This window comes from Homo sapiens, chromosome 20 (genome assembly GCF_000001405.40).
Source record: "Homo sapiens chromosome 20, GRCh38.p14 Primary Assembly".
Taxonomy (NCBI): Eukaryota; Metazoa; Chordata; class Mammalia; order Primates; family Hominidae; genus Homo; species Homo sapiens.
This window is the reverse complement of record NC_000020.11, coordinates 44,908,984-44,930,313: the sequence shown is the minus strand read 5'-3', so window position 1 is coordinate 44,930,313 and position 21,330 is coordinate 44,908,984. Positions and strand designations below refer to the sequence as shown.

At 48.4% G+C, this 21,330-nt stretch overlaps 1 protein-coding gene across 5 annotated transcripts in view, besides 3 other annotated features; it reads right to left on the bottom strand.

Moving 5' to 3' along the window:
* The window catches only part of PABPC1L (poly(A) binding protein cytoplasmic 1 like), a 29,257-nt gene extending 9,003 nt beyond the window's left edge, over nucleotides 1-20,254 (bottom strand). For all 5 annotated transcript variants that reach the window (NR_134987.2, NR_134983.2, NM_001372179.1 and 2 more), the window contains exons 1-7: nucleotides 19,978-20,254; nucleotides 17,461-17,654; nucleotides 13,443-13,558; nucleotides 11,269-11,408; nucleotides 11,037-11,131; nucleotides 8,583-8,720; nucleotides 6,058-6,153 (exon numbers count right to left, since the gene is read on the bottom strand). Coding sequence is in view for 3 of the 5 variants with exons in the window: in NM_001372179.1 (NP_001359108.1) it covers nucleotides 6,058-6,153; nucleotides 8,583-8,720; nucleotides 11,037-11,131; nucleotides 11,269-11,408; nucleotides 13,443-13,558; nucleotides 17,461-17,654; nucleotides 19,978-20,170 (972 nt within the window). In the remaining 2 variants the exon portion in view is untranslated. The remainder of the gene's footprint in view (nucleotides 1-6,057; nucleotides 6,154-8,582; nucleotides 8,721-11,036; nucleotides 11,132-11,268; nucleotides 11,409-13,442; nucleotides 13,559-17,460; nucleotides 17,655-19,977) is intronic.
* Nucleotides 12,912-13,412: an enhancer, noted in NCBI's record as "H3K4me1 hESC enhancer chr20:43545543-43546043 (GRCh37/hg19 assembly coordinates)". NCBI's record gives its function as "activates a minimal SCP1, AML or CMV promoter by ChIP-STARR-seq in primed H9 embryonic stem cells {active_cell/tissue: H9 hESC(primed)}" and the evidence as "EXISTENCE:reporter gene assay evidence [ECO:0000049][PMID:30033119]".
* Nucleotides 13,413-13,913: an enhancer, noted in NCBI's record as "H3K4me1 hESC enhancer chr20:43545042-43545542 (GRCh37/hg19 assembly coordinates)". NCBI's record gives its function as "activates a minimal SCP1, AML or CMV promoter by ChIP-STARR-seq in primed H9 embryonic stem cells {active_cell/tissue: H9 hESC(primed)}" and the evidence as "EXISTENCE:reporter gene assay evidence [ECO:0000049][PMID:30033119]".
* Nucleotides 20,071-20,400: a silencer, noted in NCBI's record as "silent region_12950". NCBI's record gives its function as "represses an Ori minimal core promoter by ATAC-STARR-seq in GM12878 lymphoblastoid cells {active_cell/tissue: GM12878}" and the evidence as "EXISTENCE:reporter gene assay evidence [ECO:0000049][PMID:35858748]".

The window sequence follows — 21,330 nt, the reverse complement described above, 5'->3', positions numbered from 1 at the left end:
TTACTAAGCTGTGTTCGAGGGATGTAGTGTGCACCCCCGTTTAGCAAGCTGTGATGGAGGGATGTAGCGTGCACCCCCATTTACTGAGGAGTGATGGAGGGATGTAGCGTGCACCCTGTTTACTGAGCTGTTTGAGGGATGCAGCACGCACCCCCATCTATGAGGCCTGCTGCATGCCAGATACTTTACATGTCTTCACACCTCACATGTACAACCTCCCGATGCGGGAGGCATCGCGGCTCCCACTTTACAGCCGGGATAAGAGAGACTCGAAAGAGTGACTTGTCTGGGGTCACTCAGCCTGTGGTTCATACGTTAGCCAGGACTCAACCCAACACATTGTTCTGGTAAGCTTCTATCGCCTCTGCTAAGTACCAAGCCAAGTTCTTTAGGAATTTGGGGAAGAGGTTCTTAGCCTTTTTGTTAAAATAACCTTTTTACTTTGGAGTAACTTTAGATTTACAGAAAAAGTTACAAAAACAGTACAGAGGGTTGCTATATATCTTTTTTTTTTTTTTTGAGACATAGTTTCACTCTGTCACTCAGGCTAGAGTGGAGTGGCACGATCTCGGCTAACTGCAACCTCAGCCTCCCGGGTTCAAGCAATTCTCCTGCCTTAGCCTCCTGGGTAGATGGGACTACAGGCGTGTGCCACCACACCTGGCTAATTTTTGTATTTTCAGTAGAGAGAGGGTTTCACCATGTTGGCCAGGCTGGTCTCAAACTCCTGACCTCAAGTGATCTGCCTGCCTCAGCCTCCCAAAGTGCTGGGATTACAGGCGTGAGCCACCATGCCTGGCCTGCTGTATATCTTTCACCCAGTTTCCCCCAATGTGAACATGGTACATTTTTCAAAACTACAAAATTAACACTGGTGCAATGCTATTAACTATTTTATACCATTAGCTCCTATTAACTACAATGCTATTAACTGAACTCCAGACTTCACTGGAATTTCACTCTTTTTTCCCCTAATATTCTTTTTCTCTTCCAGGATCCAACCCACATGGCATTTAGGGTTTGTCTTTTTGTTTATTTGTTTGTTTTTTAAAGAGATGGGGTCTCACTCTGTCATCCAGGCTGGAGTGCAGTGGTATGATCATAGCTCACTGCAGCCTCAAACTCCCGGGCTCCAGGGATCCTCCTGCCTCAGCCTCTCAAGTAGTTAGGGCTATAGGTACATGCCACCACACCCAGCTAATTTTTTTTTTTAAGTTTGTAGAGATCAGCAATCACTATGTTGCCCAGGCTGGTCTCAAGAGATCCTCCTACCTAGGTCTCCCAAGGTGCAGGGATTACAGGCAGGAGCCACCACACCTGGCCCTGGGTTTTTAACCTTTTTTTAGGGTGAAGACACCGGCCTGGCTCATACAGCCCATAAGGACTAGAGTTATTTTTAAAATCTTCTTTTTTTCCTTTTTTTTTTTCTTTTTTTTTTTTTTTTTTTTTGAGTCAGGATCTCACTCTGTCACTCAGGCTGGAGTGCAGTGGTGCAATCTCAGCTCAACTGCACCCTCAACCTCTCAGCCTCAAGTGATCCTCTCAACTCAGTCTCCCAAGTAGCTGGGACTGCAGACAAGCACCACCATGCCTAATTTTGTTCATTTTTTGTAAAGATGAGGTCTCATCCTGTTGCCCCGGCTGGGCTTGAACTCCTGGTGAGCCCACGCTCTTAATCAGTAATTTTGAAACTGTACTCTGCTACCCTTCAGTAGAGGGGTCTTAACCTGAGAGTCCATGGATCCCCCTCAGGTAGGTCATGGATACAATTTAGGGGGAAATTGCATGGATTGGGGAAAAAGTGACATCTTTATTTTCATATTAGCATTTCCTTCTATTATGAATATGGGCAACAACAAAAAAATCCTGGCAGTATTAGCCATGAATTTGTCATGAAGAAAAAGAAAATATTTTCATATCACATTAATTATTGCTAATCTCAGCCGAGCGCAATGGCTTATGCCTGTAATCCCAGCACTTTGGGAGGCCAAGGTGGGCAGATCACCTGAGGTCAGGAGTTCGAGACCAGCCTGGCCAACATGGTGAAACCCCATCTCTACTAAAAATATACAAAAATTAGCTGGTTATGGTGGCGGGTGCCTGTAATCTCAGCTTCCCAGGAGGTTGAGGCAGAACCCAGGTTCTTGAACCTGGGAGGCAGAGGTTGTAGTGAGCCAAGATCATGCCACTGCGCTCCAGTCTGGGCGACAGAGTGGGACTTCGTCTCAAAAAAATAAAAATAAAAATAATAAAAGAAGCACATACTGCTTTCACTTTAGTATTTTGACCATTATATTTTTTCAGTATGATTTTTTTGTACACCTAAGAATCTTATTTTATGCATTTAAAAATATTCTTAGGGCCAGGTTTGGTGGCTCATGCCTATTTTTGGGAAGCAGAGGCGGAAGAATTGCTTGAGCCCAGGGGTTTGAGACCAGCCTGGGTAATATAAAAAATAATTATCCAGGCATAGTGGTGCTCCTATAGTCTCAGCTACTTGGGAGGCTGAGACAGGAGATCACTTGAGGCCAGGAGTTGGAGGCTGCAGTGAGCTGTGATGGCACCACTGCATTCCAGCCTGGGTGATAGAGCGAGACTCTGTCTCAAAAAAGTTTTTAAAAAATATTCTTAGAAGGGTTCCACAGGCTTCATCAGATAGCCAAAGGGCCGGGCACAGTGGCTCACGCCTGTAATCCTAGCACTTTGGGAGGCTGAGGCAGGTGGATCACCTGAGGTCAGAAGTTCGAGACCAGCCTGGCCAAAATAGTGACACCCCATCTCTACTAAAAATACAAAAAATTAGCTGGGCATGGTGAGAGGCGCCTGTAATCCCAGCTACTCAGGAGGCTGAAGCAGGAGAATCACTTGAACCCAGGAGGCAAAGGTTACAGTGAGCTAAGATTGCACCATTGCACTCTAGCCTGGGCAACAAGAGCAAAACTCCATCTCAAAAAAAAAAAAATATATATATATTGTTAAGAACTTCTGGCAGTCGGTAGTTAATAATGATAAAATTTAGCAAAGCTAACACTTATGCAGAGCTTACCATGAACTTGATAGTGGTATAAGTATTTATATCCATTAATTCCTTTAATTTTCATAATTATTTTTATATAAAACAAAATACAGGCCAGATGCAGTGGCTCATGCCTATAATCCCAGCACTTTGGGAGGCTGAGGTAGGAGGACTGCTTGAGCCCAGGAGTTCAAGACAAGCCTGGACAACACAGCAAGACTCCCAATTTCTACCAAAAAAAAATTTTTTTTTAAATCAGCTGGGCATGGTGGCACATGCCTGTGGTCCCAGCTACTTAGGAGGCTCAGGTGGGAGGATCACTTGAGCCCAGGAGGTTGAGGTTGTGGCGTGCCATGATCACATCATGGCCCTCCAGCCTGGGCAACAGAATAAGAACCTGCATCTAATAAAAAATAATAATAAACCAAAATATATAAAATCGCATAACATAGGCCAGGCACAGTGGTTCACGCCTATAATCTCAGCACTTTGGGAGGCCAAGGCGGGCAGATCACCTGAGGTCAAGAGTTCAGGACCATCCTGGCTAACATGGTGAAACCTCATCTTTACTAAAAATACAAACATTAGTAGGGCTTGGTGGCGGGCGCCTGTAATCCCAGCTACTCAGAAGGCTGAGGCAGGAGAATTGCTTGAACCTGGGAGGCAGAAGTTGTAGTGAGCCAAGATCGCGCCATTGCACTCCAGCCTGGGCGACAAGAAGGAAACTCTATCTCAAAATAAATAAATAATTGTATAATATATATATATATGTAGGCTGGGCGTGGTGGCTCATTCTTGTAATTGCAGCACTTTGGGAGGCTGAGGCGGGCGGATTACTAGGTCAGGAGTTTGAGACCAGCCCGGCCAACACAGTGAAACCCCGTCTCTACTAAAAATACAAAAATTAGCTGGGCATGGTGGCAGGTGCCTGTAATCCCAGCTACTCAGGAGGCTGAGGGAGAAGAATCACTTGAACCCGGGAGGCGGAGGTTGTAGTGAGCCGAGATGGCGCCACTGCACTCTAGCCTGGGCAACAGAGCTAGACTCCATCACACACACAAAAAATAGATATATTTATAATCCCCATTTTATACCGTTTGTCCTGTTAAAAAGATGGTCACCCCAGGTGTGCCTTAACTCTAAGCAATCCAAATTTACACATTTCCTTTGTTCGGGGAGTCCTCAAGAAGGTCCATCTCCTGAAGCTGTATGCAAGGTGTATGATGAATCATTACGACAATCACTATTTCACTACTTATTGAATGCAGATGCTGTACATGCAGCCTCTTTAGTAGTTCTTAGGACACCTGGAGAGGTGAGAAATGTTGCTCCCACTTTATAGGTGAGTAAACAAGGTCCGAAAAGCAAAGCCACTTGCCTCAGTTTCTACAGCTAGGTAATGGTAGGACTGGGGTTTACATTTAAACCTGATTAACTTTAAAATTCCAGCTTTCAACCATGTTTCTACATCAAATGTATATGCATTTGCTTGGAAAGAGGACCTATAGCTTTTTATGATGTGTAATCAAATTTACTGATGCCTAATTTACATGTGCCACAGCCTTCTCTCGCATTTTTCAAAAGGATCTTAACCTAAAAGACAACCTTTTTTCCTCCAAACACAAGGCTCCCTGAAGGATGTTTACAACTGGACTCAGTAGCCAAAAGAGAACTTCTAGACCACTTCCTCAGAACCCAACATCACATCATTCAGGCGGGTCCCCCCATCCTGTCACTCACACTGATCTCTTTGGAAAATTCCTCATTCCCACTCCAGCTCCCTACCTCCTCACAGCCAAGTCAAACACTGCTGCTACTGCCACTTCTTCCAGGCAGCCTTCCCTTCTGTTCCACTGAACTCCTGTAGCTTTGCCTCCCATACTGTCCCCCATCTTATAATCCATTTGAGTTAGTGACGGGCTGACTTCCTCACTAGACTATAAGCTACTTGAAAGCAAGGATCACATCTGATTTGCTCCTGTTTCCCACAGAGCCTGGTAAAACAGCAGGTATTTAAGTATAGAATGAAGAAACACTGGATCATCATCTTAAAAACCATCTGGGCGCTTTTTTTTTTTTTTTTTTTTGAGACAGAGTCTCGCTGTTGCCCAGGCTGGAGTGCAGTGGCACGATCTTGGCTCACTGCAAGCTCCGCCTCCTGGGTTCATGCCATTCTCCTGCCTCAGCCTCCGGAATACCTGGGACTATAGGCACGTGCCATCATGCCCGGCTAATTTTTTGTATTTTTAGTAGAGATGGGGTTTCACCGTGTTAGCGAGGATGGTCTCGATCTCCTGACCTCATGATCTGCCTGCCTCAGCCTCCCAAAGTGCTGGGATTACAGGCGTGAGCCATATTGCCCAGCCTCTGGGAGCTTTAAAAAAAAAAAATAAAAAGCCCAGGCCCTACCCCGGGGATCCACATTCTATGCCTGACTGAGGTGTGTGTATTTAAGAATTGCCCAGGGGGTTGTAATGAGAAGCCAGGGTCGGAAAGCCATCCAGTGAGCCCAGTGTCCTTATCTATAAGACAACATCTGCTAAAGCTCATAGAGCTGCTGATGGGCCAGTTGCCACATCTCAGGGGCCTAACAGGGTTGGGCACACAATTGGTGCTCCAGAAATAGGGAAGAACAAATGAAGAATGACGAAGTCCAGCCCTCTCACTTTCCAGATGGGAAAACGGAGGCCCAGGAGGGTAATGTCACTGGCAGAGGCCAGACAACAAAAGTCAATGGAAATACTAAGATATGAATTTCTGGAATCTGGCATACAGTAGGCACTCAATAAATGCCAAGGTGACAGTGAGCCCCAAGTCCAGCTGTGTGACTGGGACTATATTTCTACCCTCTTCCCCTCCAGCCCAGACAAGGCTGCAGATGGCTACAAGCTCCAACGGGGTCAGCAGAGCCCCAGAAGGGGTAGCCGGCACCAACCCCCTGAAGGCTGCTGGGCGAGAGGGTGGAGGGGTGGGGTTGTGGGGGGATGGTGGTGAGAGGATGGAGGGGAACGCTGTCCCCCGGAGGTGCCCCCAGTCCTCACCTTCGCACTGGTAATTACTCCATAGGGAGAGAACTCTTTCCTCAGTTTGTCGTCATCAATGGAGTCGTCCAGATTCTTCACATACAAGTTCACACCCTGGGATGGAAGGGAAACTGCTGGATGTCCCCTTCTCCTCCAAGCCCCAACTGCCTTGGGGAGATCAGGGAACTGACGCAGGTACAAGGGGCATGGGGAGCCCCACCAGCCCAGCCTCCTGCTCCCCGTCTCCCTCAGCACCCAGGTACCCCCATCCCTCAGCGTGCCCATCACATGCAAGCTGTAGCCCCCACATCCCAAATTCCCCTGCAGTTCTCACACATCTGCACTGGTCCCAGCCTCACCACAGCTATTCCCCATTTCACAGATGGGGCCCACGAGGATGTCCCAGGTCCCGTGGCAGGCTGAGGTGCAGAGCATGCCCAAGCCAAGCTCTCCAGATGGTGGATGTCGGGCAGCAGGAGTCAGAGCTCCTCCCTGGCTGGCCCATGACCAGAACCCTAACACAGGTGAGCTGCCCCTCCATCCCCTGCCAGCCCAGGAACCTCGGGCACTTACTCATGTTGGTGCCAGGTGCCACTCTAAGCTTTCCCATACATTTTGATTTTTTTTTTAAGACTTTTTTTTTTTGAGATGGATTTTTGCTCTTGTTGCCTAGGCTGGAGTGCAATGGTGCAATCTCGGCTCAGTGCAACCTCTGCCTCGCGGGTTCAAGTGATTCTCCTGCCTCAGCCTCCCAAGTAGCTGGGATTACAGGTACGTGCAACCAGACCCAGCTAACTTTGTATTTTTTAGTAGAGACGGGTTTCTCCTTTCTCCATGTTGGTCAGGCCAGTCTTGAACTCCTGACCTCAGGTGATCTGCCCACCTTGGCCTCCCAAAGTGCTGGGATTACAGGCACGAGCCACCACGACAGGCCACGTTTTGATTTTTAATCCTCACAACAACCCTGCGTGAAGAAAACTTTTATCCTTGTTTTACAGACAAAACTGAAACACAAAGAGGCTAAATAAGTTGCCCCAGATCATACAGTAGCTAAGTGGCAGAGACAGGACAACCCAGGCAGACTAACTTCAGAGTCTGTGCATCTCACTGTTGAGTGACAGCTGCCTCTAGCACCTTGACTTTTCTCCTTCCAGACCTCCCAAACACAACAGTGTATGAATGTACAAGAGAACAGAGACCGCACAATTGTACAGCATAGCATCCTGCTCTTGCAGATTATGTGATGAGTATTTTGTTCTGCAGGTATGAAAGCCCCTGGACACGCTGTATGTACACAAGAGGATGTATGTGTTTCTCAGCCTCAGATCTAGTGACATTTTGTGCCAGACAGTTCCTTGCTGTGGCATTGTCCTGGGCACTGTAGGATGCCTGCCAGCATCCCTGGCCTCTACCCTGTGGATGACAGTAGCACCCCACCACCCACACGACAATGAAAATTCTAGACATTGCCAAATGTCCCCCAGGAGGCAAAACTGCTCCTCACTGAGAACTACTGAGTATGTGTGCGTGTTTTGTGTGGATATGTATATTTATATGCCCCTCTCCATGAAGGATCTAGAACTTTTATGAAAAATCTTAGAGGGGGCCAGGCGTGGTGGCTCATGCCTGTAATCCCATAACTTTGGGAGGCCAAAGCGGGCAGATCAACTAAGGTCAGGAGTTCGAGACCAGCCTGACCAATATGATGAACTCCATCTCTATTAAAAATACAAAAATGAGGCCAGGCGCAGTGGCTCACACCTGTAATCCCAGCACTTTGGGAGGCTGAGGCGGGCAGATCACAAGGTCAGGAGTTCAAGACCAGCCTGGGCAACATGGTGAAACCCTGTCTCTACTAAAAATACAAAAATTTGCCGGGCATGGTGGCACGCACCTGTAATCCCAGCTACTTGGGAGGCTGAGACTTTCTTGAACCCAGGAGTGAGAGGTTGCAGTGAACCAAGATCATGCCACTGCACTCCAGCCTGGGTGACAAGAGCAATACTCTGTCTCAAAAAATAAGTAAATAAATAAAATCTTAGAGGGGTTCACTTCCCAATGAAGTTTTAAATTGCACTGATCCACAATATTCACTTTAATTATTAACTCCACATAATTCAAAGGCTGTCCAACATTCCAACTTTTGGATGTAACATATTTGGCCTGATTATTCTCAGCCAGGAGTAGGATTTCCTCTAGGGGCATCTGGCAATATGCGGGGTACTTTGGTTGTCTGAGACTAGAGGATGCAACTGGGATTGAGTGGGCTGGGTGGGATGCTAACCAGTCCCACGTGAAGGATTATTCTAACCAAAAGGTCCCCAGCACCCCTACTAACCCCTATGATGGTTGGACAGTTGGGTTGTGCGCAGTTTCTCACTGTTATACATTAGGCAGTGGGGGCCATCCCATGCTCATTCAATTCCCGCCTTGAGCCAAGTGCCCAGAAGTAGGATCACTAGAAGAAACAGTCACCACTCAGGGCCCCCGACACACAGCTGCTCTCACACAGAAGTGGCTGCCACCAGGAAGCCTGACCTCACCTGGTAACGCCTCAGCCGGTCCTGCTTCATCTGCTCAAACCTGCGCTTCAGTTCATTCTGCCGCTCCACGCGCTTTTGGGCCCGGCCCGCGTACAGCAGCCGCCCGCTCACCTCCTTCCCGTTCATATGGACCACGGCCTGGGGAAAGGAGGAGGGAACATGCTTGGTAACCACTCAGATGTGGCCCTGGCCCAGGCTCATCTTCTGGATCTAGAGGGGCCACCTGCAAACCAGGCTGGCCACACTAGCTGAGAATAATCAGTACCAGGACAAAGGCCATTTAAGTATACCCACTTTGGCTCATGCCTGTAATCCCAGCACTTTGGGTGGCCGAGGGGGACGGATCATCTGAGGTCAGGAATTCGAGACCAGCCTGACCAACATGGAGAAACCCCGTCTCTACTAAAAATACAAAATTAGCCAGGCATGGAAGCACATGCCTGTAATCCCAGCTACTCGGGAGGCTGAGGCAGGAGAATCGTTGAACCTGGGAGGTGGAGGTTGCGGTGAGCTGAGATCACGCCATTGCACTCCAGCCTGGGCAACAAGAGTGAAACTCCATCTCAAAAAAAAAAAAAAAATTCGGACTGGGGCTGTATTTTAAGAAACAAAATTGATGGCCAGGCACAGTGGCTCACACCTGGTAATTACAGCACTTTGGGAGGCCAAGGCGGTTGGATCACTTGAGGTCAGGAGTTCGAAACCAGCCTGGCCAACTTGGTGAAACCCCATCTCTACTAAAAATACAAAAATTAGCCAGGCATGGTGGCAGGTGCCTGTAATCCCAGCTACTTAGGAGGCTGAGGTGGGAGAATCCCTTGAAACTGGGAGGTGGAGGTTGCAGTGAGCTGAGATCACGCCACTGCACTACAGCCTGGACGACAGACAGACTCCATCTTAATAAAATAAACATAAAAATAAAATTGAGATTTGCAAATTTTCCCATATTTACAATGTAAATATGGCCGGGCATGGTGGCTCACGCCTGTAATCCTAGCACTTTGGGAGGCCAAGGCGGGTGGATCACTTGAGGTCACGAGTTCGATACCAGCCTGGCCAACATGGTGAAACCCCTTCTCTACTAAAAACACAAAAATTAGCCGGGCATGGTGGCGGGCGCCTGTAGTCCCAGCTACTCGGGAGGTTGAGGCAGGAGAATTACTTGAACCCAGGAGGCGGAGGTTGCAATGAGCCGAGATCACGTCACTGCATTCCATCCTGGGTGACAGAGTGAGACTCTGTCTCAAAAATAAATAAATAAAAATAAAATAAAATGTAAATATTTATATATTCCCATATTTTAAATGCGTATTACTAAGTGAAAGAAGCCAGTCTAGGTGACATAGTCTCTGTCCCAGAAAAGGCAAAACTATGGAGCAAGCAAAAAGATCATTGGTTGCCAGGGGTTAAGGGGCATGGAGGAATGAACAGATGGAGCACAGGGGATGTTTAGGGCACTGAAAGTAGTCTGCATGATACCATAATAGTGGATACATGTCATTATGCATTTGTCCAAACCCCTAGACTCTACACCAAAAGTAAATCCTAATGTAAACTTGGGACTGTGTGTGTTAATGATGTGTCAAAGTAAGTGAATCACTTGTAACAGACGTAACCCTTGGGAGCAGGACATTGATAATGGCAGAGGCTGTTCATGTGTTGGGGGAATGGGGTATACAGAAAACCTCCATAACTTCCACTAAACGTTGCTCTGAACTTAAAACTACACTGAAAAAAGAACTTAAAGAACTTAAAAAAATTTAGGTTCTAACTGCAACTACACATGGATAATTTGAACAAAGTAGCAAGCATAATTCTCTCATAATGGCATGACAGCATCATCAACATCCTTACTTTGAGTTGGATTTCAAGGCACAAAATAATCCTCTTTGCTAACTGTGAGAGCCTTTTTGTGTGTGAAGATGGCATCTTGCCGTTTTGTCCAGCTGGTCTCGAACTGAACTCAAGCAGTCTTCCCACCCAGCCTCCCCAAGTGCTGGGATTACAAGCATGAGCCATCACATCTGGAGAGTTTTTAAAAAATTAGAGACAGGGTCTTGCTATGTTGCCCAGGCTGGACTCAAACCACTGGGCTCAAGGGGTCCTCCTGCCTCAGCCTATCACGTAGGCTGAGACTACAGGTGCACACCACCACACCCGGTGGAAACTGATTTAAGTGGTCAGTTCATGAGTAAATATTTTTATATAATAATGACTTCTGCATCCCTACCTAAATATTCAGCTCTGCGGACATCAGGGCTTAGAAGTGACCAAAGAATGAAGCCCTTGGCCTTTGACCACAGAAGGAAGGGCTTTGCCTGCACACAGGACTCTCCCACCCTCTTGGCTTAGGCCGGGGAGGGACTTTCTTCCCCTCCACAGGCAGCTGGGACCCTCTTCTTAGTCCCAGCTCGGTCCCCCTGCTGCAGAACAGAGCCATGGGGAGGCTCCTACCTTCTGGGCTTCCTCATGCTTCTCAAAGTTGACAAAGCCAAAGCACCGCGAGTGGCCGCTGTTGTCCCTCATCACCTTCACACTCAGCATTTTCCCTGCAAAGGACCAACCTGGCTCAAAGGGGAGTCTGGGAAGTCCTCAGGAAACCCCAGGAGAGCCCCTCCTCCCTACCAGACTTTGGAAGGGAAGAGGAAAAACAGTGATCCCCCCGCTCCCTTGGGGACACACCCACCAAACTGGGAGAAGAGGTCCTGCAGGCCTTGCTCGTCCACATCCACCGGGAGGTTCTTCACGTAGATGTTGGTGAACTCCAGGGCCCGCGCCCCCAGCTCCGCCTCCCGCTCCCGTCGAGACTTGAAGTGACCCACAAAGCTGTGGACATGACACACTGGCTCATGGCTGTGGACAGCTACCAGCCATCAGCCACCCCCATGCCAACTCCTGCTCAACTGCTGCCCTTCTCCAGGCTTACATATCCCTCATCAGGAAACTGGGCAGGACAATACTCCTTAGAACATCCCCAAGGCCCGGCTACCTCCAATAGCCAAGATATTATATTATGTTCCAGAGCTTGTCCCCAGCAGAAGGTTAAGAAGATTTCATTCTTGCGACAAATGCACACATAATTACTATTATATACCAGGCAGCTGAGAGCACAGAAGAATGAGCCTGAGAGTCAGACAGACAAGGGCTTGAATCCTCGCTCTGCAGTTGCCTAGCTGTGTGACCCTGGGCAAGCTACTTAACCTCTCTGAGCCTCAGAGTTCATTGCTGTAAAATTGGGACTCAAATTCTCATCATGGGGCTTTGCTTATTAACATGTATTGGGTGCACTGGGGAAGCAGGGGTAAGTGAATTAGACGCAGTCAATGCTAGTGTTGCTATGGGGGGCATTGACTAAAATCACTTAAATACAAGATTAATTTTATTTTTATTTATTATGTTTTTGACACTGAGTTTCGCTCTATCGCCCAGGCTGGAGTACAGTGGTGCCATCTCAGCTCACTGCAAGCTCCACCTCCTGGGTTCAAGCGATTCTCCTGCTTCACTCAGCCTTCCAAGTAGCTGGGATTACAGGTATGTGCCACCACGCATGGCTAATTCTTGTATTTTTGGTAGAGATGGAGTTTCACCATGTTGGCCAGGCTAGTCTCAAACTCCTGACCTCAGATGATTCACCCACCTCTGCCTCACAAAGTGCTGGGGTTACAGGTGTGAGCCACCACACCCAGTCACAAGATTAATTTTAAAAGTTCATTTCCAAGTTCATGTAAACACATCTAGGAAAGCATCCCAGATTAAAAAAATAATAATAAATTCTGATGGTATCTATAGCACGTTTAGCACAAACAAAGTTGTACCAGGCACCAAAATTTGAAGAAAACTGAGTGGCAAAGGTGAACTTGAGTAAATTGGAGCTAACGAAGAGCATTCTTCTGAGAACTGGGAAAAGCCCACCAAGATTTGTTTGACAGGTTGACTGGACCCTCCTCTGAGTAACCCTGGACAAAATGACTCTCAGTGCATCCCCCAGCTCAAAGCCACCTTCTCTCCATGGCCCTGACCATGTGAGCTGGCCTCTCAGATGAACAAAATCAAAATTCTGGGCAGGGAACAGCCAGAGGCAGATTCTCTCTATTATCTGCCTCTCAGTTTTCCCATCTGTGTAGTGGGGATGATATCGAAGTTAACAGTATGATGAGGGCAGGCTTAGCATATGCCTACTTTTCTTTCTGCCAAAATCTCATGAAACACAAAAGGTTTAAAGAAAAAGTCAGGCGCAGTAGCTCATGCCTGTAATCCCAGCATTTTAACACTTTAGGAGGCTGAGGCAGGAGGATCACTTGAACCCAAGAGTTCAAGACCAGCCTGGGCAACAAAGTGAGACCCCATCTCTACAAAAAAAAAAAAAAAAATCAAAAAATTAGCCAGGTATGGTGGCATGTGGTCACCTGTGGTCCCAGCTACAAAGGAGGCTGAGACAGGAGGATTACTTGAGCCAAGGAGGTCAAGGCTGCAGTGAGCTGTGTTCATGCCACTGCACTCCAGCCTGGGCTACATAGCAAGACCCTGTCACACACACATACACCCCATACTGAGAAGGCTGGAAAACAGATGAAAACACTGAGTCCATTGATGATATGACCATTAGCCAGTCCCTCTAGAGTTTTAAAATCACCACTTCCTTTACCATACTCTAATGCAGATCATCAGCTCCATCTTTATGTGAGGAAAGAGTCCCTGAGAGGTTGAGCAGCTGCTCCGGGCTCACACTTCTAGGAGGGCTGCCTGCCGCTCAAGTGCCTGGTGCCCATTAGCAGCTTGAGGGTAGCATCGATTCCTAGTCGGTGGTGCCATGCTTCTGTCCCTGCAGCCTCCGCCCCTCCCTCGGGCCCAGCCACTCACACTTTGCGGTCATTCAGCAGCATCCCATTCATGGTGTTGATGGCCTGCTGTGCGGCCTCATGGGTCTCAAAATGGACAAAGCCGAAACCCCGGGAGCCATGCTCGTCACACGCCACCTGGGCCACAGGGAGGAAGGACAGGAAGAGTACTGACAGAGGGTTCAGGTAGAAAGGAATGGCAAAGGTGATCACGACCAGTCTCTGCATGCCTGCTGTGCCTGGAAAAGGCAATCCTGCATGTTAGGGATGGGGTATGGAAGCTCAAAGAGTGTCACCACTCAAGTTAACGGATTAAGGAAGGCTGGGTGCAGTGGCTCATGCCTGTAATCCCAGCACTTTGGGAGGCCGAGGTGGGCATATCACTTGAGGTCAGGAGTTCGAGACCAGCCTGGACAACATGGTGCAACCCTGTCTCTATTAAAAATACAAAAAATTAGCCAGATGTGGTGGTGGGTGCCTGTAATCCCAGCTACTCAGGAGGCTGAGGCAGGGGAATTGCTTGAACCGAGGAGGCGGAGGTTGCGGTGAGCTGATATTGCACCACTGAACTCCATCCTGGGTGACAGAGTGAGACTCTGTGTCAAAAAAATAAAAACAGAAAAGAAAAAACAGATTTAAGAGGGAGAACGAAATGAACACAGGTTTCATCTATACTGCATACTGGCTTTTAATTGTCTTCCTAAGGCAATGGGCAAAAGGGTTAGATTCAAACCCCCATATCTGCATCCTTGTTTCTATCAGCAAACTAGAAACAACCGGGGTATTCATCAAGGGGGAGCCTCAATTGTACACCAGTCTACTGTATGTGCACAGTTGAAGAGAATGTGGTAGGTTACATGGCCTGACAGTCTTGTTAAGTGAAAAAAAAAATCCATTCAGGCTAAAGTAGGCATCTACACATTGGAAATTTTGAAAAAGACACATAAAATGTATTCATATTACTTTTGGGGACTAGGGCTGAAAGAAATGGAGTCTTGTTTTTCACTTTCTTCCCTTCCACATTGTTTAAACTTTGCCAATACATGAATTACTGCAACAACAGACTCATTTCAATTTTTTTTTTTTTTTTTTTTGAGATAGAGTTTCACTCTTGTTGCCCAGGCTGGAGTGCAATGGCACAATCTTGGCTCCCTGCAACCCCCGCCTCCCAGGTTCAAGCGATTCTCCTGCCTCAGACTCCCGAGTAGCTGAGATTACAGGTGCATGCCACCATGCCTGGCTAGTTTTTTGTATTTTTAGTAGAGATGGAGTTTCACCATGTTGGCTAGGCTGGTCCTGGACTCCTGACCTCAGGTGATCCACCCACCTGGGCCTCCCAAAGTGCTGGGATTAGGAGCATGAGCCACTGCACCCCGCCTCAATTTTTTTAAAGATGCACAATATCCTATTCCCATTCTGTAACCCTCCTGACTCAGGCCAGCAGGACAGAACTTGAGAACAAGGAAAGACCTTCTAGTTCACATAGCCCCCATCCCTCTTGTTGAACTCGCAGAAAGACCACTAACCCCCCACTTCAAGGTGACTGTGGCTCCACTCATCCCTGTGGCTACAGGCTCAGCTCAGCTAGTGGCATTTTCTGCCTGGATGACAAGCACTGCCTCCCAGCCTAGCTTGCACACTACCACTGTGATGCTCTTTCTAAAATGTAATTCTGACCACATCCCTTCAATCTCTAGTAGCTTCTATCCACAGAACTATATCAACTTGGCATTTGAGGCTCCCCAGTGGGTGTTGCACAACAGATCTTGCTTCCAAACCCATGCCTTGCACATACCCCTCCACCTCTCATCCTGAAACAGGGGCCTTCCACTTTCAACTCAAGCCTCAGCTTGGATTTAACCACGTTGACTGGGTCCCCACTGTGGGTCAAGAACCTGCTAAGGGCATTACATACTTCCCTTGTTATCTATGCCAGTCATAAGAGAATCCTTTCAGTCATTTCTTAACCTCTGAGCCCCAGAGGGAAAATGAGAATAAATGACTTGTCCAAGGTCAGCCAACAGAAGTAATTCTTTGATTGTTACAGTTATCACTTAGAAGCTTAACAGTATGCCAGGTACCCTTTTAAGGAGTATACATGTATGCAGAAAACCTAACACACAGAAAGTACATGATAAATCTGCCATTATTATTGTGAAGAACTTAATACACAGTTAAGAGTCTTTCTTCCTTTGATCCTCAAAGACAGGAAACAGCCCCGTCTCTCTGTCACAGATAACCCTTAGTGCATTACTACATCTCCTCAAGTCTACCTGCTCCTCTGAGCCACAGGGATAGCCTCTTATTGACTGGGAATTTGAGAGCCCTCGTTGAGAACTTAAGGATTATGCTTGGCACACAGTAGCACTTGATAAAAGTTCTGACATGCCAGGTGCAGTGGCTCACGCCTGTAATCCCAGCACTTTGGGAGACTGAGGCGGGCGGATCACAAGGTCAGGAGATCGAGACCATCCTGGCTAACACGGTGAAACCCCGTCTCTACTAAAAATACAAAAAAAATTAGCTGGGCGTGGTGGCGGGCACCTGTAGTCCCAGCTACTCAGGAGGCTGAGGCAGGAGAATGGCGTGAACCTGGGAGGAGGAGGTTGCAGTGAGCTGAGATCGCGCCACTGCACTCCAGCCTGGGCAACAGAGTGAGACTCCGTCTCAAAAAAAAAAAAAAAAAAAAGTTCTGACACATAGGCTACAAAAACTGTCCCCATCCTCCCTAGAATAGCAGACACTCCAAAGGCTACGGGGTAACTGATCAACTATCCTTATAAAATCTAGAGACAGAACACCCAGGTTTAAGCCCTCTGTTCCAGACATACTGACCTGCTATATGGCCGCTGATCCTCAACATCCTCATATAAAAAGTCAGAGAAATAATCAGAATCCTTCTCAAATGACATACCTCCACTGGCTCAACATATATTTATTGAGCACCTAATATGTTTCACATCTTATTCTAAGTATTGGGATACAATAATGACTAAGAACAAGATCACTGATGGAACTTACATCTAATGTAAGACAATCTTAAAAACAAGATTCAATAACTTAATTGCCTTGATGGCCCCAATTAATGGCCTTCCTGTAGCCACACCCTTCATCCTATAATTTCTACTCCCCTCTCACTCTGAATGTGGGCTGGTCTTGTGACTTGCTTTGGTCAATAGAATGTAGTGAAAGAGGCCAGGTGCGGTGGCTCATGGCTGTAATCCCAGCATTTTGGGAGGTCAGGAGTTCGAGACCAGCCTGGCCAACACAGTGAAACCCACCCTGTCTCCACTAAACATACAAAAATTATCCAGGCATGGTGGCTCGCACCTGTAATTCCAGCTACTCGGGAGGCTGAGGCAGGAGAATCGTTTGAACTCAGGAGGCTTGAACCCAGGAAGTTGCAGTAAGCTGAGATCATGCCACTGTACTCCAGCCTAGGCAACAGAGTAAGACTGCATCTCAATTAAAAAAAAAAAACGTAGTGGAAGTGATGGTTCCAGTTCTGCATTTAGTTCTCAAGAGGCCTGGTGTGCTTCCACTCTTGTCTTCTGAGCCCCTGCCATTGCCATGAGAATACCATGAGAATAGCCTGGACTAGCCTACTGGAGGACAAAAGGCCATAGGGAGGAAAGCCAAGATGTTCCAGCTGACAGCCAGTCGCTCCCTCATATACCCAGCGAGAGCTCCCACTCAGCTTTCAGTGGGCATAGGAGGGAACCCAGCCAAGACCAGAAGAACTGCCCAGCTGAACTTTGCCCATTGCCAACTGTGGAATTATTAGCTAAATAAATGATTGTTGTTGACGGCCACTAAATTTGAAGGTGGTTACACAGCGAGAGCTGACTGATACACAGGTAATGTCTGGTCATTCACGGAAGATGAAACTGAAAGAACGGCTGTCATTCAGGTGCTTGCTGTACCTGAAACTTGACTGAAAGGACCTTGTAAACTGTAAAGTGAGGTGTTGCTTGTCACCCCTCTACCAGGCAGGTAGTTGACACCGATCTACCCAAAGACGTACACCCTTCATCCTCTACCTTGCAAGAGAGGATGTTCCCAAAGGTGGAGAAGGTATCATATAAAGCCTTGTTGTCAATGGAGTCCTCCAGGTTCTTGATGAAGATGTTGCCCACACCTGACTTGCGAAGTCCTGGGTCTCGCTGGGACCACATGATGCGAATAGGCTGGCCTTTGAGCATCTCAAAGTTCATTGTGTCCAGTGCCCGCTCCGCTGGACAGAAGGAAGAGGAGAGAAATTAGCAAGTTTAGGGAATTTTCTTACCTTGATCACCCACCCCTCGAGGTGCTTAACTGGGAGCCAATAAAGAGAAAGTCATTGTCTGGGTCCCAGACAATAAGCCAAGATAAGAGCCCAAATAACTGAGATAAGAGCCCAAAGGCTCAGGAAGGATAAGCTGAGAATTAGTGTGTATGGTGCTCCCCCAACCTTCCAGTTATGATCTCATTCAACCAACTCCCTGCAGCCACATGAGCATGGATTCCTGCCCCTCATTTTACAGATGGGAAAACTGAGAATAAGAAACATGAAAGGTCTGTGGCAGCGTCAGGTCTATTCTGGATTCTAAAGTACACTGAGTGGATAACAATGTCCATATGACAAGGGGTGGCAGCACTTTGAGGAAATTAAAACTCAGAGGTGCTGCAGGGCAGAGCTGAGGTTAGATCTCAAGCAGTCCGGCTCTGGGGAAAGTGGACATTACCTCTCTGAGCCTGTTCCTCACCTGTAAAGGGGGAATGATGGTAATATTACCTACTTTTCCACACCTAACAAAGGGAGATACTACCAACTACCAGGTTGTTGGAGGGACTGAAAAATAAAGAAGGTATGTAAAAGTGCCTTGTTTGTAACTTTGTGCCTGACACAAAATAATGTCTCAAAACAGCAGCCGATGCCCAGCCTCCGGCCACTGCTGCAGCCTGTGTCTCTCCTGGGTGATACACGTGACCTGTTTCAGGGAGTCTGCTAGTGCAGAGACATGGAAGGGGGCTGTGGGGAACACAGTGGAGCAAGTTTCAGGAAGCCCGGATTCTCCACCTAGTCTTATCATAAATACCTGGGGCAAAACCCTTCTCTCTGCAGCACGGTTTCCAGGCCGAGTCCCACTTCATTCACAGGGCTTGGAGGAAGATGGGAAGAGGCAGGAGGTGGAGCAAAGCAGAACAAACAGAAAAGTGCCCAGGAATCCAGCCCAGTAAGGGGCGGGGAACAGGCCCGGCGGAACAACCCCTTCCCTAGCAAACCACCCACTCAGGCAACCACCAGGTTCACCCAGGCGACCTGGCGCAAGGGATCCCTCTAGTGGACGCCGGCCATTTTTTGGGTGAGTTTCTGGAGTCTTACATCAGAATGTTAAAGCCACTATTTTCGTTGTTGTTTCTTTTTTGTTTGTTGTTTTGTTTTGTGTTGAGATGGAGTCTCGCTCTGTTGCCCGGGCTGGAGTGCAATGGCGCAGTCTCGGCTCACTGCAACCTCTGCCTCCCGGATTCAAGCGATTCTCGTGCCTCAGCCTCCCCAGCAGTTGGGATTACAGGCGTCCGCCATCATGCCCAGCTATTTTTTGTATTTTTAGTAGAGAAAGGGTTTCGCTATGTTGGCCAGGCTGGTCTCGAACTCCTGACCTCAAGTGATCTGCCCACCTCGGCCTCCTAAGATGCTGGGATTACAGGCGTGAGCCACTGCGCCTGGCCTTATTTATTTATTTATTTATTTATTTATTTATTTATTTATTTATTTTAGGTTACCACTTAAGAGCGTTTACGAGGTAACAAGCAGTTACCATTCTTTATGCATAGACAGCAGTTCTCCATTCTTTATGTTATTGGAGAATACGCCTTAGCCCCATTTTGCAGATGAAAAGGTGCAGAGCGTGAAGGCTTGCCCAAGCTCACTCATCCTCTCCACTCTCAACAGAAGTGCAGGCAAACTCATCGGACAAGCTCTAATCAATGCTATCAGCTCTGAGAAAGCGGCCTTGCGGCCTGGAGGCAGCGGTTTTTCAGAGCCCGTGCAGGTAGAGGCGCCCAGTGTGGATCTCACGTCGCGCTGGGAAAGGCCTGAGCCCAAGGCTGGGTTCTCCTGCCTCCCCTGCTCACCAGCTGTGTTGCCTTGGGCATCTTCCTCACCAGGTGCTTTGAATCTCTCATCCTCACAAGCACTCTATAAGGCAGCTAGGACCCCCATTTTCCAGACACGCATCTGAAGCTCAGAATGGTCGAGTAACTTGCCCAGAGTCACACGGCTGCTGGGCTTCTATCCCTGGTCCGCCTGACCCCCACCCCCACCCCCACAAAGCCTGTATCTGTTTTCACTCGACCCTAATCTCTCTCCTCTGTAGAGGAATAGCAGTAAACCACACTAATTACCAATTCCCGTCTCAGGGGCCAGGCCTCTGCCAACGCCCTGTTATCTTTGAGCCTCAGTTTCCCCGGCTGCAAAGTGTAAGATGAAAGCGCAAGCGGCCCAGTTCCGGCTTCTGTCTGTCCGCCTGCTTGTCCGTCGGTCCTTCCCCTCCCGCCCCATCCCCGGGGCTCACCGTCCGCGGGCTGCTGGAAGTTGATGTAGGCGTAGCCCAGCGAGCGCCGGGTGGCTACATCGCGGCACACGCGGATGGACAGGATGGGGCCGGCGGGAGAGAACTTCTCATAGAGCATGGCCTCGGTCACGTCGGGGTGCAGATCGCCCACGTAAAGCGAGGCAAGCGGGTAGCCAGAACCGCTGGCGTTCATGGTGGGCAGGGGGCCGGGGCTGCGGGGCAAGCAGGAGCCGGGTCACCCAGCAGCCCCGCGCTCACCCGGGCGGAAGCCCTCCTTCCTGGGCGCGGGCCCGCCCCTTCCCTTTACCGCCCCCGCGTCCCTGCGCACCAATCGTGGGCGCGCTCGGACGCCCCTCCCCCGGGATCCCTCCTGGGCCCACCCCCCACCTGCGAGCACTTGGGGATCTAAAAGCTACAGGTGGGGACACCTCTGACCCCGCCCTGGGAGGCGGAAAAAGCCTTCAACCTGGCCTTGAGCAGGGCTGCTGGGACTTGAGTGGAGCTCTCAAAACCCCCAGCTCTTTTGAAAGAGCCGAGGACTGGGACGGAAAGGACGCAGGGGACTGAGTTCTAACCCCGGAACAGATGATCATCTTTCTGAACCCGTTTCCCTTCTCTGTAAAATGGGAATGATTCCCTCCTGACAAGAATGAAAGGAGACCCAAACCGCGCTTTTTGCGTTTCACACACAAACGGAATTCCGAACAGGCCACTGTTTCAAAGCTTGTGTAGAGAATTTTACCCTGCTCCATTGAAGATGTCTTCCTCCAGAGAGCCTGATCCAGTCCCACCGTTTCGCACCAAGGATGGAAATGGCTTTGAGACATGAGAACTGGAGACCACTAAGGCCTTTCTTGGTACTGGCTCATATTACCAAGACCCCTTTTCCTGGGATATTCCCTGTCCCTCTGCTAAGCCATTACACATCCATTACACCAGGGAGGTTCACTGAGTTACTTGTGGCTCAGCCTAAATGCGGACAATTGGGAACTAATAGCAGAGCAAGACCTAAACAGAGCAAGACTGTGAATCTGAGCTTGCAGCGTCAATCTGTGGTATAGGGACATTAAAAACAACACAAAAACAAAACAACTACTCCACTGAGCACCAATACTTCACTTTTCCTCTGATAGGACTTTCCTGGTCTCACTGATCCAACAGAGCAGGTAGGCCCCCACTGACTTTTGGTTGAGTGTGGCTTCAACAGGTGGAACAGCTCCTAAACTAGGGACAGAAGGTGCCCATCTGGCTGTCCAGCCTCAGAGTAGCAAGGAAGCACTAATTCTAATCTTGGGCTAAAAAAGACCCCTCTATCCTGATATTTTTCTCTCCTTGTGGTAATGTGGATGTTTT